General features: G+C 43.6%; 2 annotated features.

Annotated features, from left to right (window-relative positions):
• Window positions 397-1,123: an enhancer, noted in NCBI's record as "H3K27ac hESC enhancer chr3:134181408-134182134 (GRCh37/hg19 assembly coordinates)". NCBI's record gives its function as "activates a minimal SCP1, AML or CMV promoter by ChIP-STARR-seq in naive H9 embryonic stem cells {active_cell/tissue: H9 hESC(naive)}" and the evidence as "EXISTENCE:reporter gene assay evidence [ECO:0000049][PMID:30033119]".
• Window positions 2,575-3,299: an enhancer, noted in NCBI's record as "H3K27ac-H3K4me1 hESC enhancer chr3:134183586-134184310 (GRCh37/hg19 assembly coordinates)". NCBI's record gives its function as "activates a minimal SCP1, AML or CMV promoter by ChIP-STARR-seq in naive H9 embryonic stem cells {active_cell/tissue: H9 hESC(naive)}" and the evidence as "EXISTENCE:reporter gene assay evidence [ECO:0000049][PMID:30033119]".

Consider the following 15,208-nt stretch of genomic DNA (forward strand, 5'->3'; position numbering starts at 1 on the left):
GTGAGCACATGTGATATTTGGTTTTCTGTGAAACAATTTTTAAATTTCTCTGCAGTTAAACTCCAATAGGGCTATGGAAAATTTCATGCAGATTTGCTGTGTTTCAGTGAATGAAGTTTTGTCTTTGGTGTAAAATCGGCTCCCTTGATTGAGCCCGTGTTAGGGGGCTGCTGTTTGTTTTCAGCAGCACACACAAAGCCCTCAGGGCCTGGGCACTCACTTCATTGCTGAGAGTCTTAGACTTTCCCTCTTGGTCTCAAATTAGTTTTACTGAAACCCTATCTTTATGTGGGTCAGGGCTTCCGTCTTCCTTAAAAACTTTTTTTTTCCTTTAAAAACAAAAACACACCCTCCCATTTCCAGAAATTCCTGCACTTCTTATTTCCTGTTGGCTTATTTAGGGGCATTTTTTGCTAATGAAGTTTCGAGAGGATTTCTTGAAACAAAGTTATGTAACTTTGCTGATTTCAAACTGTCTTTTTTGCTAAATTCTTAACTGTTGAGTCTCTCTGTTTAGAACAGAGGCTTCTTCTTAACTACCGATGGTCATAACAGTGAAACTAGATCTCAGTTTTGAAGAATGTCAGTGCATTATGCATTTTTTTTCCTTGTCTGATCCCAGACAAAACGATCCTCTTCTTTAAAATGGCTGTTTCAGCCTCCTATTTTAACCCTGCCAATCAGACTCCAAGACATAGACCCATGGGCTTGTTTCTGGGCTCCCTCCTGGGATATCCTGTTAAGAAAAGTACCTCGTGCCTCTAGCCAGGACTGCAGGTTCCGGTCCCAAGATTTTTTCTTTTTTCTTTTCTTTCTTTCTTTCTTTTTTTCTTTTTGAGACAAGTTTGTTCTCTGTCACCCGGGCTGGAGTGCAGTGGCATGAACCTCGAACTCCTGGGCTCAAACAATCATTTTCCCTCAGCTTCTGGGTAGCTGGGACTACAGGCACACGCCACCACACCCTACTAATTTATTTTATTTTCTTCTTCTTTTTTTAAAGTAGAGGCAGGGTCTTGCTGTGTTGCTCAGGCTGGTCCCGAACCCTTGGCCTCAAGCAATCACCCTACCTTGGCCTCCCAAAGTGCTGGGATTGCAGGCGTGAGCCACTGTGCCCAGCCTCCAGTCCCAATTCTGTCTTGGTTTCCCCATCTGCAAAGGAAGGATTCTGTAGTGGATGTTTTTATGCTTCTTTCAATCTCAGGCTCTGATTTGTTCTGGCATCTAAATGGATGCCAGCTATTCCACTTTCAAAAACCTCAGAGAAGAAAATTCTAGAGTCCATGGTTTCTTTTCTTTAATTTTTATGCCTAATAACTCTGTAAAAATTTCTTTCTCCCATCGCATAAATCCTTTCCCATTCAATCAAATGTCCTTGAAGCAGAAACACATGCCTACTTCTGCAGCCACACAGATAGTTGGCCTTTGCACACTGGTTGATGTAGGGTTTTGCACCTCTTCTTCATAAATGTTGGCTACCATAATTATTCAAATGTTCCCAGAATAAAGATTATAGGTATAATGGCATGGTGCAAGGAGGCTGGGCTTCAGCTGGGGCAGCCGGCCCCTCACTTTCAGGGTGATCTTGGCTCTCTGAGTTTCCTTTTCCCCAGAGGTAAGGTTGGGGGGACCTGCCCTCCTGGGCCGCAGGGCTGTCGTGAGGATGAACTGAGATGCACCAGAAGAGTGGCTGTCTTTACAATATGTGATTATGTTGCATCCTGTCACCTGCTGGCCCAAGGACAGGGATTTAATTGTGTACTGAGACCCTTTGGGAAGTGCTTTTAGATCCCTATGGAATCCTTGGTGGAATGCGATGGGCTATAAATACAAGAAGAAAATAGGTAGAGTGAAAATAGAGACTTCTGGAGAATCTGGCTTCCTGTGACTCCACTGGGGTGCTGGGCGGGAGCGCTTTTTCAGAGCATGGAGACTTTCCTTGTACCTCCCCTCATTCCCTCATTCCCCTATTCCCCAGGGTTTAAAAAAAAAAAAAAAAAAAAAGAACTTTCCCCGAACTTTCCCATTCCTCTGCCCTGGCTGCTAATGCTGAAATTCCATCTTGTGTTTGTTGTCACCCGCAGGTCTGTTTCCATGGTTACCCAAATTCCAGGCACTGGCCCCAGGCCCACCACAACGCATCCCTCAAAGTCTCTTTGGCAGAGGAAAAGCATTTCTCCTTGCTGCGGCAAGTCAGAGCCAGAATCTCGGGTTCTCCTGCTCCAAAGCCCCCACTACACCCTCATTCGCGTGTGATTCATGCGTTTAGGTGGTTCTGCTCAGCGTCGTTTTTTGAGTTGGGGAGCGGTGAGTAAGCACAATATAAGTTTCCTTCATTTCTCTTCTCCTTGTTTGAGCTAAGGAATTACTTTCTTGTACCAAACATTACACCCTTGGAAAACACTCCAGATGGTTCTCATTAAAATTCCAATTCCTTTTTTTGCAATTCATTTTTCCCCATTCTCCTCAAACTACTATCTCAAAAATAAACACCAGGCTGAGGAGCAAGTGAGGGGTCTGTGAATAGCAGCTCCAGTGAATGGAATCTTTCAGAGACCCCTGGTGTGGCCCTGAAGGCGCCTGCAGCTTCTCTTCTTGCCAAGGGTCACCTGGCCCTTCATAGGGAGGCCAGGGGTAGCAGCCCTGTGGCATCCTCACCAGGGAGAGTCCAAACACACATGGGGGGCATGTGCATAGGGATGCACATGAACACATAGGGATGCCGAGTGCAGCAGCCCCATGCACTGTCACCAGGGAGCGTCCAAACACACGTGGGGGGCATGTTCGATGGCAAAGGTGCCCTAAGGGGGCCATGGGCTCTGCTGCCTCTGCAGGAAGAGGGGCAGAAGGCCAGCTAGGCCTCTGTTCCCCAACAGGCTGGGCCCAGACCATGCTTTGCAGAGGGGCTGTCCACCTTCTTTAGTATACAGCGAGGCCTCTGCAGATTTCTAAAGACACTGGCCACAGGAGCGAGGTGATGCTTACTCTAAGAAGCGGACAAGGAGAGACTGCCAATGCCTTTTGGCCATAATTGCAGCTGAGCAAGTCACAGGCTTTGCTCCCACATCTGGAAAAATCTGCATGCACAGGAAAAGTATGTGTGTGTCCAGTGATGTGTATTTGATATGTTTTTATTTTCAACTTTATGTTATGAAAAAATTTAAAAATACAGAAAAGTTGTAAGAATGGTACAATGAACAGCCATATCACTCCACCTAGATCCAACGAATGTTACATTTTGTCATATTTCCTTTCCCTCTCTCTCTTTCCAGATACACAGAGAGATAAATACATATCCTTTGCTTAGACATTTGAAAGTTAGGATCTTGTCCCTATAGCATTTTATAACCTAGTAATCTATGCATTAATGCAATCATATACTGCAGTCATGCACTGCATGACAATGTTTTGGTAAATGATAGACTGCATATACAATGGTGATCCCATAAGATTATAATACCAGGCCAGGTGTGGTGGCTCAAGCCTGTAATCCCAGCACTTTGGGAGGCCAAGGTGGGCTGATCACCTGAGGTCAGGAGTTTGAGACCAGCCTGGCCAACATGGTGAAACGCTGTGTCAACTAAAAAAAAATACAAAAATCTATTTTGCGCCTGTAATCCCAGCTGGTTGGGAGGTCGAGGCACAAGAATCGCTTGAACCCGGGAGGTGGAGATTGTAATGAGCTGAGATAGCACTGAGCTGAGATTGTACCACTGCACTCCAGCCTGGGTGACAGAGTGAGACTAAGTCTCCAAAAAAAAAAAATTATAATACCATATTTTTACTGTACCTTTTTATGTTTAGATATATTTAGGTACACAAGTAATTACCATTGTGCTACAATTGCCTACAGTATTCAGTACAGTAACATGCCATGCAGGTTTGTAGCCTGGGAGTAAGAGGCTATCCCATAGAGCCTAGGTGTGTAGTAGGCTCTAGCACCTGGGTTTATATAACTGTGCTGTGTGATGTTTGCACAACAACAAAATCACCTAATAATGCAAATACATTTCTCAGAGCATATCCCTGTGATTAAGTGACACATGACTGTATATGAATATATTCTTATTGTAAAATATTCAAACATCCGAATAGTACAGACACATAGAGTATAAGCAAAACCCAGGCATGAGCCCCTCCTCATCTCACCTTCCCCACTCCCCAGGGTTGCTTGGCTTGTGTCTCTCCTGAACTGTGAGTTTATTTAGACATACATGTGTTTACACAGAAATATATATTTTTGTGACATGTGTTTTTAAACATAAATGATATAATACTATGCGTGCTGTTTTGCAGCTTATTTTTCACTTGGAAATGTGTCTGGGATCTTTCCATATTAGTATTTGGAGCTCTGCCTCATTCTTTGACTACTGCAGAACATGCCAAAGCATGGTTGTATAATAATTTCTTAAATATTCCCTCTTGATGGGCATTTCAGCTACTTAGTATTATTTTTCCATTACTCACAATGATGCATTTAACATCCTTGAGAAATGTTGCCTTAAGGACATGTACCAATATGTCTCTTTGACAGATACCTAGAGGTGGGATTGCTGGGTTGGATGAGATGCACATTTTATACTTGGATAGATACTGCCAAATTGCCTTCAAAATGGTTCTCCAGGCTGAGCACGGTGGCTCATGCCTGTAATCCCAGCACTTTGGGAGATCGAGGCAGGTGGGTCACTTGAGCCCAGGAGTTTGAGACCAGCCTGGGCAACATAGGGAAACTCTTCCTTTACTAAAAATACAAAAAAAGGTTAGTCCGGCTTGGTGGCTTTTGCCTGTAGTCCCAGCTACTTGGAAGGCTGAGGTGGGAGGATCGCTTGAACCCGGGTAGTCAAGGGTGCAGTGAGCTGTGATTGCACCACTGCACTCCAGCCTGGGTGACAGAGCAAGACCCTGTCTCAAAAAAAAAAAAAAAAAAAAGGCTTTCTGAGACAGCCCATTTCCCATTTCCCCACATCCTCACCAATGTTGAATTTTGTCAGTCTTTTTAAGTGTTGACTTTGTAATGAATGAGAAATAATATAGCATTGCTGGTTTAGTTTGAATTTCTTTGATTATTAGTGAGGTGTCAGAGTTCAGCTAGAAATGACAGAAGCCACTCCCTTAGTTTATGTAGAAAGTGATTTAATATAGGGAATTGAGTGTTTAACATTTTGTCAGATAAGGTAGAATAGCAAGTTCAGGATGAGCTTCGAGGACTGATTCCCAGAACTCCAGCTCAGAACGGACCCACCAAGGGAGCTTTCCCTTCCCTCATGACCTGGAAGCTGGGGATTTGGGAAGCTGGGCCCCCAACTGCTGGCTCGGCAATCAGAAACCAGGAAGCCTCAGCCATATCTGGTCTCCAGAACCATACTGCCTCAGCTGTGTGGTAGATGCTCTACGTCCTGGCCACAACGCCCACGAAGCTGGAGACTGGATCTAGACACTGAGGTCTTTGCTGTTGTTAATGCAGGGAAGAAACCAAAAACAAACAAAAAAAAAACCAAAATAACCCCAATCAAAACACAAAAAACAAGGACCTTCTCAACTCTGTCTGCCAGTGGAGTTAGTAGGTCTCTTGAGGGTACAACCAATCAAGAGAAACCAGGTCACAGAGAAACCAGCTCAGCTCTTAGGGAGCCAGGAAGCTGCAGGCTGTGGCTTTCCAGGCTCCAGCATGCAGTGAGGCAAGCTGCAAGGCGGCAGCATGGGAAGTAGGGAAAGTCAGTCTGAAATATCCGCCATCATCATGTTTTCAGGTCTTCCATCTTTTTTCTATGACTCGCCTGATGGTACTCACTGCCTATTTTTCTATTGGGGTTATATTTTCTTACTAATTTATAGAAGTTTTATGGGTTATCTGGAACCTTTTTTTTGTCTTTTATACGTTTTATGAATACCTTCTATTCTTTTAAATTTATATTTTTTGTCATGTAGAAATTTTGTTAATCTATTTTTGTACTTTCTGCTTCCTGGCTTTTGTAAATTACTTAAGAAGGCTTTTCCTACATCAAATATCCTAAAGTATTCAACTACATTTCCTTCTAACACCTTTAACAATTTTTTCATGTTTAATTCTTGAAACCCTAACATGGGTTGTTGTTTTTTCCTAAATGGAAAACCATTGTCTCAGCATAATTTGTTGAATAATTTGTCTTTCAAATTATTAAATATTTTATAAATTAAATTTAAAAAATTTAAAGGAGAATTTTAAAAAATATAGAATGAACTCTTTCTGCTTTCTGAAGCAAAGCCAGGATGAAGCTCTAAAAAATAAACTTGTTATCACTTCATATTTTGGCTTCATAACAGGCTCAAAAATTAGAGGTTTAATATTCCCTAAAGTATAGATATGACAAGATTATTCCCCTAATTACAAGCCTTGATTGGGCCCCCTTTTCCTGAAGACCAAAGTTCAATCTCCGTAGACTAGTCCTCTGTCTGCTCAGCACTGCTCCCCGCCCCATCATGGGCCTTTGCAATCTTACTTCCCTGCTCCTTTGCCTAGAAGGGAGATCACATCAACTGAACCGGCCGACAAAGCAGAAAACTTGTAAAGATATCTATGTCAGCAATTTTTTAAAATGACATTGTAATAATCTATTTATGATGCTTCTCTCACTTACTGGTATTTCTCAATGTGGTCACTATCAGAGTTTTGGATAGAACAATTCTTCTTTGCAGTATATTTACTAACCCCAACATCTCACTAAATGTAGCAGTATTCTCTGGTACCTCCCCCACCATCCCAGACATTGTGACAACCAAAAAAAAAAAAAAAAAGTTCCCATATGTTTCCAAACACACCAGCCCTACCCTTAGTTGAAAAGAAGAGAGAGAGGGAGAAAGAAAGTCAGAAATGACAGAATGTCATCACCATAAGGTGCTGTCCTAATTCATCTTCTAATCTCCAGATGTTCAAATCTGGCCTTTGTTTCAAAAGGCTACCTTCTCCACAAAGCTTTCCTAAATTCCCTCAACTGCAGGAGATCTATTTCTTCTCTGACTCCCCTCTTCCATGGTACTACCACCATCCATTCATCCATCCATTAATTCATCCATCTCTTTGCCTACTTGCACCACTGCACTATCTATCTAGTAAGTATTTCTTTAGCATTTATTGTGTACTAGGCACACTGACCACTTTCTTCTTATATTTTGGCTTTTTATATGATAAGTGTCTTATCTGGTCTAACACAGTGTAACCTCAGGCACAATTCACGTCTGACTTACGTATGCTTCTCTCAGGGTGCCTTGCACAGAGCTGATGCTCACTGCTGAGTATTAGAGGAATGAAAAGTTATTGATTGCAGACATAAGTTTTAACATACATTTCAAATATTTATTCAAAGGCAGTGAGAGTAGTTTTATTTATTTTTATTTTTATTTATTTATTTTTTTAAATAATGCTTTTCTGGCTGGGCGTGGTGGCTCACTCCCATAATCTCAGCACTTTGGGAGGCCAAGGCAGGCAGATCACCTGAGGTCAGCAGTTTGAGACCAGCCTGGCCAACATGGCAAAACCCCGTCTCTACTAAAAATACAAAAATTATCCGTGAGTGGTGGCATGTGCCTGTAATCCTAGCTACTCGGGAGGCTGAGACAGGAGAATTGCTTGAACCTGGGAGTCGGAGGTTGCAGTAAGCTGAGATCATGCCACTGCACCAGCCTGGGTGACAGAGCAAGACTCTGTCTCAAAAAAAAAAAAAATGCTTTTCTGACTCAAAATATCAGCATTATTACTTGAAAAAATTATCCACAATCTCATTGCCTTTTCAGGAGGATATAAAGTAAGGTGGGACAATTTCCTTCCTCACCAGTTTAATCTTGTCCCTAGAAGTAACGACTGCCAATGGTTTCTTTTCTTCCAGACTTTATAAAATATGTTTATGCATATTCACATACAGATATGCCCATATGTACATTTATTAGGTTTAAATTAGCACATATATTAAAGCGCTACATGAAACATGAATTTAAGAATGAAATTACACAATTATGAAGTAAACAAATCATGTTTAACTTAAATGTGTATAGTTCTTTATAACTGCAAAACAGTTTTAAGTATGTTTTGACTCTCCAGCCCTAGGAAGTAGGCTCAGTGAAGTTAACAATCAGGCTCCTGGTCACAGAGTCAGCAACTGTGGAGCCAGAACCTGAACCCGGGTCTTCTGTCTCCTAATTCATGGCTGTTTCCACTGTGTAAAATGATCCCTAAGAATTATCTGCAAGTTATTATTTATATAATAAAATTATTCTTTGCTTGACTTCAGAGTAGCAATGTAAACTTTTTTGAAATACTTATTGTATTACATTGAAAACAATGGCTAATATTTACCAAGTGCTACCATGTGCCAGAAACTTTTCTAAGCACTTTACTTGCATTGTCTCATTTACTCCTTCAAGAAGCCTTTCATGTAAGCAGTATTATCAACCGCATTTTCAATGAGGAAACTGGGGTTCAGAAAGGCAGATAACCTGCTTGGAGATGGACTGGTGTGTTGCTTGGCTGGGTTTTGAACCTAGGTCTTTCTTGCCTCAAAGGTGTGTCCTCTTAGCCATTGTACTTTGAGGCAGCCTACATACATTTTACTCACATATAATTTTAAGTAAATAACTATTATGTAAAACAGAATGAGATATGAATTTGATGTAAGTTCTACTTTAGAGATAATTGCAATTTGAATGACATAAGAAAACAAGTCCAATGTATAGACTAGGATGTTTAGATAAATGCTTGAATAAGAGCAAGGGAGAGGGCCGGGTGCAGTGGCTCATGCCTGTAATCCCAGCAGTTTGGGAGGCCGAGGCGGGCGGATCATGAGGTCAGGAGACCATCATGGCTAACACAGTGAAACCCCATCTCTACTAAAAACAGAAAAAAAAAAAATTAGCCAGGCATGGTGGCGAGCGCCTGTAGTCCCAGCTACTCCGGAGGCTGAGGCAGGAGAATGGCATGAACTTGGGAGGTGGAGCTTGCAGTGAGCTGAGATTGTGCCACTGCACACTCCAGCCTGGGGACAGAGCGAGACTCCATCTCAAAAAAAATAAAATAAAATAAATAAATAAATAAATAAAAGAGCAAGGGAGAAAACACAGTAAGCAAGAGAGAAATAGGAACAAACATGGAGATTGATTGATTGAAAGAGAGAGCCTGGATGAAAGAGGCAGGCAGCAGAGTCAATGCAAGGGAGAGGGACTAGAGCTCCAGCCCTCTCCACTTCTGCCTCCAGCCCTCTCCACTTCTGCCTCGAGTCCATCTGAGACTCTACAAGCCAGCCTGGGACTCATTTTTCTTACACTCCTGGAGCCCTTGCTGTATGATGCGTGTATGTCTGGACTAAGATCTCAGACTGAAAAATAGGCACCTAATCTCCAGGCCCAGAGGGGAGCAGTAGGGTAAGTGGGGAGAATATCCTTAACATCTGCCCATCCCTGAGAGTAGGGGCTGGGAGGCGAGAGTGGTGACAATGAGGCCAGGAAGAAGAGCCTCATCAGGCAGACCCATGCCTCCTGTCTGTCTGGGCTGAGTAAAGGGAGGCTGCATCAGGTCTTAGTCATTGACAGGTGTCAGGCATCCTCACTGGCCAAGAGGCAGGGATGCATCCACCTCACTCTCACCAGAAGCCCTGCGCCATTAGACTGTGTGCCACTTCAAGTGAGTACCACTCTGTGGGCATGGTGGAGGGGAAGAGGGGAACTGCTGGAGACTAAGATGACAGGTGGGGAGGAAGCACGGGCAGAGATGCCAAGAAGGTAGAAGAGATCATGCATGGGCAGAGGAAAACCCCTTTTGCCTTTGGGTGGTGGCAGCACGATAAAGGGGATCTGAGTCACAGGGAAGGCGTGGAATAACTGGGATGGGTCTGTACGTCAACCTCTCCCCTACTTCCTTTGGAGTCATTTGGTTGTTTTCAAATTCTCCACCCTTTGCCTGTTCCCCCCACCCACCCCCATCAAATCCGGTTTGTGTGTGGTGTGCGTGTGTTTGTATACACACACAGTTGGCTCTTGGTAAGAATAATATTAGCTGAAAACAGGAAATTGCAATTATCTGACTATTTTTGATGTATAAAAACAGCTTTTTCATATGGTTCAACCCAGTTGGTAAACTAAAATAAAAATCTAGGTGGAAATCCTTATAGTAATGAGCAGAACTAATGAAGGAATGGGGTAACCACTGGTCCCAGCTCTGTAGTTGTGTTTCTCACACCTGCAGCACTCAAGAGGCTCGATTCTGCAACAGCTGCATTGCTGTGACCAGGGTGACAGAGTGCAAGTTCATATAGTAGTTGGCTAAGAGCCAGATGAAATTTAGGCAGGGACATGCCCTGAGATTGGGTGATAACCTCACCTCAAGTTCTGTACCTCTCCTTCCTCCCATGGTCAGTGAGGCTAGTTTTCAGGAGGCAAAAAAGACAGAGGGTTCAGTTGAGCTGAGGAACCGATTTCAGCAACTGCCTAGGAGATCATTCGAGGACCTGAACCCCTGTCAGGACTCTGGCAAGCCCGGGGGTCTGACCCAGCATTCTCCCTGTCGCTCCTCCTGGCCCTGGTTGCTTTTCTGTCACCCCAAAGGCCAACACCCACAGTCCCTTGAATTCTCACTTCTAAGGTGAGGGCATTTGCTGGGTTTAGTCACTGTCCAGCATGGAACCCTGATGGATACCATAGATTCAAGGATCAGCTACCCAATTTATGGGGCCAAGTACCAAATGAAAATGTGGGTTCCTTGTTAAAAAATTATTAACACTTTCAAGACAGCAAAAGCGGAGCATTATACCAAATGCAGGCCCTTTTGAGTGCAGGCCCAGGGCAACTGCCTTGCTTGCACGCCTGAGCAGCTAGCTGGTCCAGGCTGGTTCCGGTGCAGAGGCCAGCACCATCCATCATCTGGGCCAGGAAGGCCACAAGGTATGAAGTCCCTTTAGGAGACCACCCAGCTGCCTTTTCAGGCCTGCCACTACCCAGTCTTTCCTCGAGAGCTCACTGATGGCGTATGGCACAGTGAGAGTGAGAAACTGGTGAACAAATATAACTGTGGGTAAAGCGGGGCCAAATCAAGAAAGGAAGCTTTGAAAAACAGTCTTTTCATGGAATTAACCTAAATGCCCACCAATGGCAGACTGAATAAAGAAAATGTGGTACATATACACCATGGAATGCTATGTAGCCATTAAAAAGGAGATCAGGTCCTTTGCAGGAATGTGGATGGAGCTGAAGGCCATTATCCTTAGCAAACTAACGAAGAAACAGAAAGCCAACACTGCATGTTTTCATAAGTGGGGGCTAAATAATGAGAACCAATAGGCACAAACTGGGGAAAAGCAGACACTGCGGCCTACTTGAGGGAGGAGGGTGAAGGAGGGAGGGGATCAGGAGAAATAACTACTGGGTACTAGGCTTAGTACCTGAGTGATGAAATGATCTGTATACCAAACTCCTGTGACAACAGTGTCCCTGTATTAACAAATCTGTACATGAATAAGAGTTTTTGTTTTGTTTTTTTTTTTTTTAAAAAGAAAAACAGTCTTTCTAGAGCCTAATGGATTATTCCTGGATGATGCCTAAATTATCCAAACGATTTCATGCAAAGATCTGGGAAACAGCTTAATGAAAGAGCCCCAGGCCTGACTATAAGTTGGGGACACAGGTGGGCAAAATTCCTGGTTCCAGACCTCTTTTTCTTTAACCAAAAGTTCTGAACTGCCCTCAACTTTTGGGTGCCCTCACTTTGCCCCCGACAAAGCATGAGTGGGGAGCCCACTAGGTGAGCTGCTCAGTCCAAGCCTGGCTGGCCAGAATCCCAGGAAGGCTGTGCTTTCCTCACATAACCGCTAGCTAGCACTTTGGGCAGCCCAGGTATGCAGAATCACTTTCAAGCGAAAGATCACACGTATTGAGAATCTTCAGCGTTCAGAGCTAACAATCAGCCAGTGATTCAAACTTTCTAAAAGGAATTGAGCGCCCCCTGCTGGGTATTGTAGCATTGACATTAAACTATCCTCTCAAATGCATCAAAATCTGAAACTACAGAGATTTAATCTCGTATAAAATCCAGTGACAACAGGACTCATGGTGACAACATTATATATGAGTTTGATAAAAGGTTGAATCTTTAAATGTTTCATGACTCCCATGCTCCTATTAAAAATGCTTCTAGTTCTTTATCTCAATTTTAGAAACAAGGTACACACTTTAAAGTTCTAAGTATTCTGGTAGGATTTTCTTCCCATGTCACAGAAAGTTTTACAGGAAAGGTAACATGGTCCTGGGAGAGGACATGGGTTTTGGGATCAGACAACCTAGGCTGGAATCCATTTACTATTTGAATGACTTGGAATAAGTCTTTTTTTTTTTTTTTTGACGGAGTCTCACTCTGTCGTCCAGGCTGGAGTGCAGTGGCACCGTGTCAGCTCACTACAACCTCTGTTTCCTGGGTTCACATAATTCTCCTGCCTCAGCCTCCCAAATAGCTGGGATTACAGGCGCCCACCACCATGCCCGGCTAGTTTTTTGTTTGTTTGTTTTTGTTTTTAATATATTCTTAGTAGAGACGGGGTTTCATCATGTTGGCAAGGCTGGTCTCAAACTCCTGACCTCAGGTGATCTGCCCGCCTCAGCCGCCCAAAATGCTGGGATTACAGGCGTGAGCCACCGTGTCCAGCCTGGAATAAGTCTTTCAATGTTAACTTGGAACAAATCATTTAAGTCACCATCTCCTGATCAATAAGGACAATGCTATCCACCTAAAAGGTGAATGTCAGGGCTGGAACTCATGTGTTTAAAGTGCATAGAAGTGCTTGATTAACCATCGTGTCATCGTTACGATACTATTACGATGTGAGTCTAAGTTGGGTTTCAAAGGATGAGCAGCCCCTGGACTCAGACCTTGTTTCCAGAGACTAGGGGCTGTAACTTTAGTCCTGTGTCTAGCTCAGAGATCTAACCCCTGGGTCATGAGGGCAGTGCTCACACTGGGCAAGTCTGGACAATTCCACCTCGAACAAATATTTCAAGTCCTTCTACTTTTACCTCTATCTTGCCAATCCAAACTACCATCATTTCTCACTTGAGCCAAAGCAAAGCTCTTCTAATTTTTCTTTCCACTTCTATTCTTATCTCCAAAGTGATATATACATATATATATATATTTAAATCCAATCTGATCAGGCCACTCTCTCTAGTTAGAACCTTTCAATGACTTAGAAAAACTTTTTTTAGCCAGACACCTGCCTACCCACCTTGCTTATAATGCCAGTCCTACCTCCTGGCTTTATGCAGTTAGCTCTCTCTGTAAGCAATCCTCATCTCCCAATTCTTTCCCTTATTACTACTACTCATCCTTTGGGTGTTGGGTCACAAGCTCAAGGAGGGTACAAGAGATAGCACATTTCTTTTTTTCAAAGCAAATTAAGTCCATTTGGCCTCACTCTGCTGCACTGCAAGCAGAAATTAATTCTGTGGTCCCTGGGGTGTCCTTTCCCCTTCTTAGGGTCTTGCAAGCATTTAGGACACTCATGAATGACCTGGAAAAATGGGTAAAGACCTCTACTCTTCAGTCTATCTGGGTCGTTGCTATTATCTTCACTGCCAAGTCTGAGGGGGCCCTTGTAGGAGGGGGTTCCAAGCTTGGAGGTCTTTGCCTTTTCTGGAAGACTCAGTGTTGAGGTGCAGGTTTCCTCTGGAGCACCCAACAAACCATGAAACTCTGAAGTTCACCATCTCACTGTGGTACTGAGTGGAACACAGCTTTCCACTACTCCTAAGAGGTTCCTGTCTGCAGACCCTCTTCTCTCCCACCCTCCCCTGCTTCCCAAACAAGGACTAGGGTTATTATTAAGCATGTCCGCTTCCTGATGTGCACGGGAAGCACACAGGACCTGGTTACTTCCTTGGAGATTGGAAAAAAATTCAGAGAAAAAATTAGTATTTCAAATTATGTGCTATAAAAGCTGCTAATCACAAGGTCTCCCTTGGATTATTCAATATAAATCAGATCCCCTCCAGTCACATTCTCCTATACTGCAGCAGTACTGTTGGTACCCATTCCCCCAGCTACTGTGTATTGGCTGTCAAAGGCTCACAGCTGTGAGAAGAGATTTTAGTTATTCAGTGTTTCCAGAGTTTCAACAAGGGATACGGACACAAGCAGCCGAGGCTGCTTCTTACAGAGTGTCCTCTGGAGAGGCGTGTCACCTGGCAATGCCTGGGAGGTTATGCTGTCACTGGGGGATTGTGGGAGGGGCCAAGCCAATGACTGACCAATTCATACTCAGTACAAAGGCCTAACCCCTTGCCTCAAGGTGAGAAAACTCTTGGCATCGTCATGGGCCAGAAATCCCACTGGATCAGACTGAAGCTAGACTTCAGCTCAAACCACATCTTGGCTCAGCTTCTTTCCCTGCCCTATCCTGTTTACCTTACAGGACTCTTCTGAAAGCACCTCAATAAATCACTTGCACAAGAAATCTCTGCCTCAGGCTTGGCTTCTGGGAACCCAACCTAAGTCACATCTTTTATTTTTCCTTCCTAGCATACGCCCCAAATTGAAATCATGTATTTGTATGGCTAATGGTTTAATGCCTGTCTCCCCAACTAAAGGCTCCATGAAGGGAGAGGCCACACTTACTTTGTTCATTGCTATACTCCCAGTGCCAGGCATGGTGCCTCCCACAGAGAAAAGCAATATGCAGGCTCTAAACTGGAAAGCTGTCAGGAACCAATAGGCCACATAGCCTCTTGGCCTCCCTCTCCAGATACTTTCCTTTTTGGGTGTTTTGGTACAGACAATTGAAGAAAGCTACCCTGTAACAGCAACTTAGCATTTCTTGTGCCCATCATCCTCAAGCCAGTCCTAGACGGAGATTTCGAAGCCCTGGTTGACAAAATCTGACTAGCCCAAATTAGGTCACCTAATTCCTGATACAATGAGCTACAGTTCTGGCACCATAACACAAGTTACGAACTTGCCCAGAGGCTATTCCTGGGGGTGGCGGCAGTTCTCGGATGAGTGTCATAGACACAAACCAACAGCTGTCTTACAGATATCATATTCTGGTTCAGCAGAAATCAAGAATAGCTTTCATATTTTACTGGTCTACTAATATTCCAGGGAAAGGCTAGGCAGGATTCACATGAACATTTGTCAAGTTCTTAGATGTTAGTGTCTCAGAGATTACATACCACAAGTAAGCTGTAAAATCCTCATTTAACAAGA

The sequence above is a fragment of the Homo sapiens genome, chromosome 3 (genome assembly GCF_000001405.40).
Source record: "Homo sapiens chromosome 3, GRCh38.p14 Primary Assembly".
Taxonomy (NCBI): domain Eukaryota; kingdom Metazoa; phylum Chordata; class Mammalia; order Primates; family Hominidae; genus Homo; species Homo sapiens.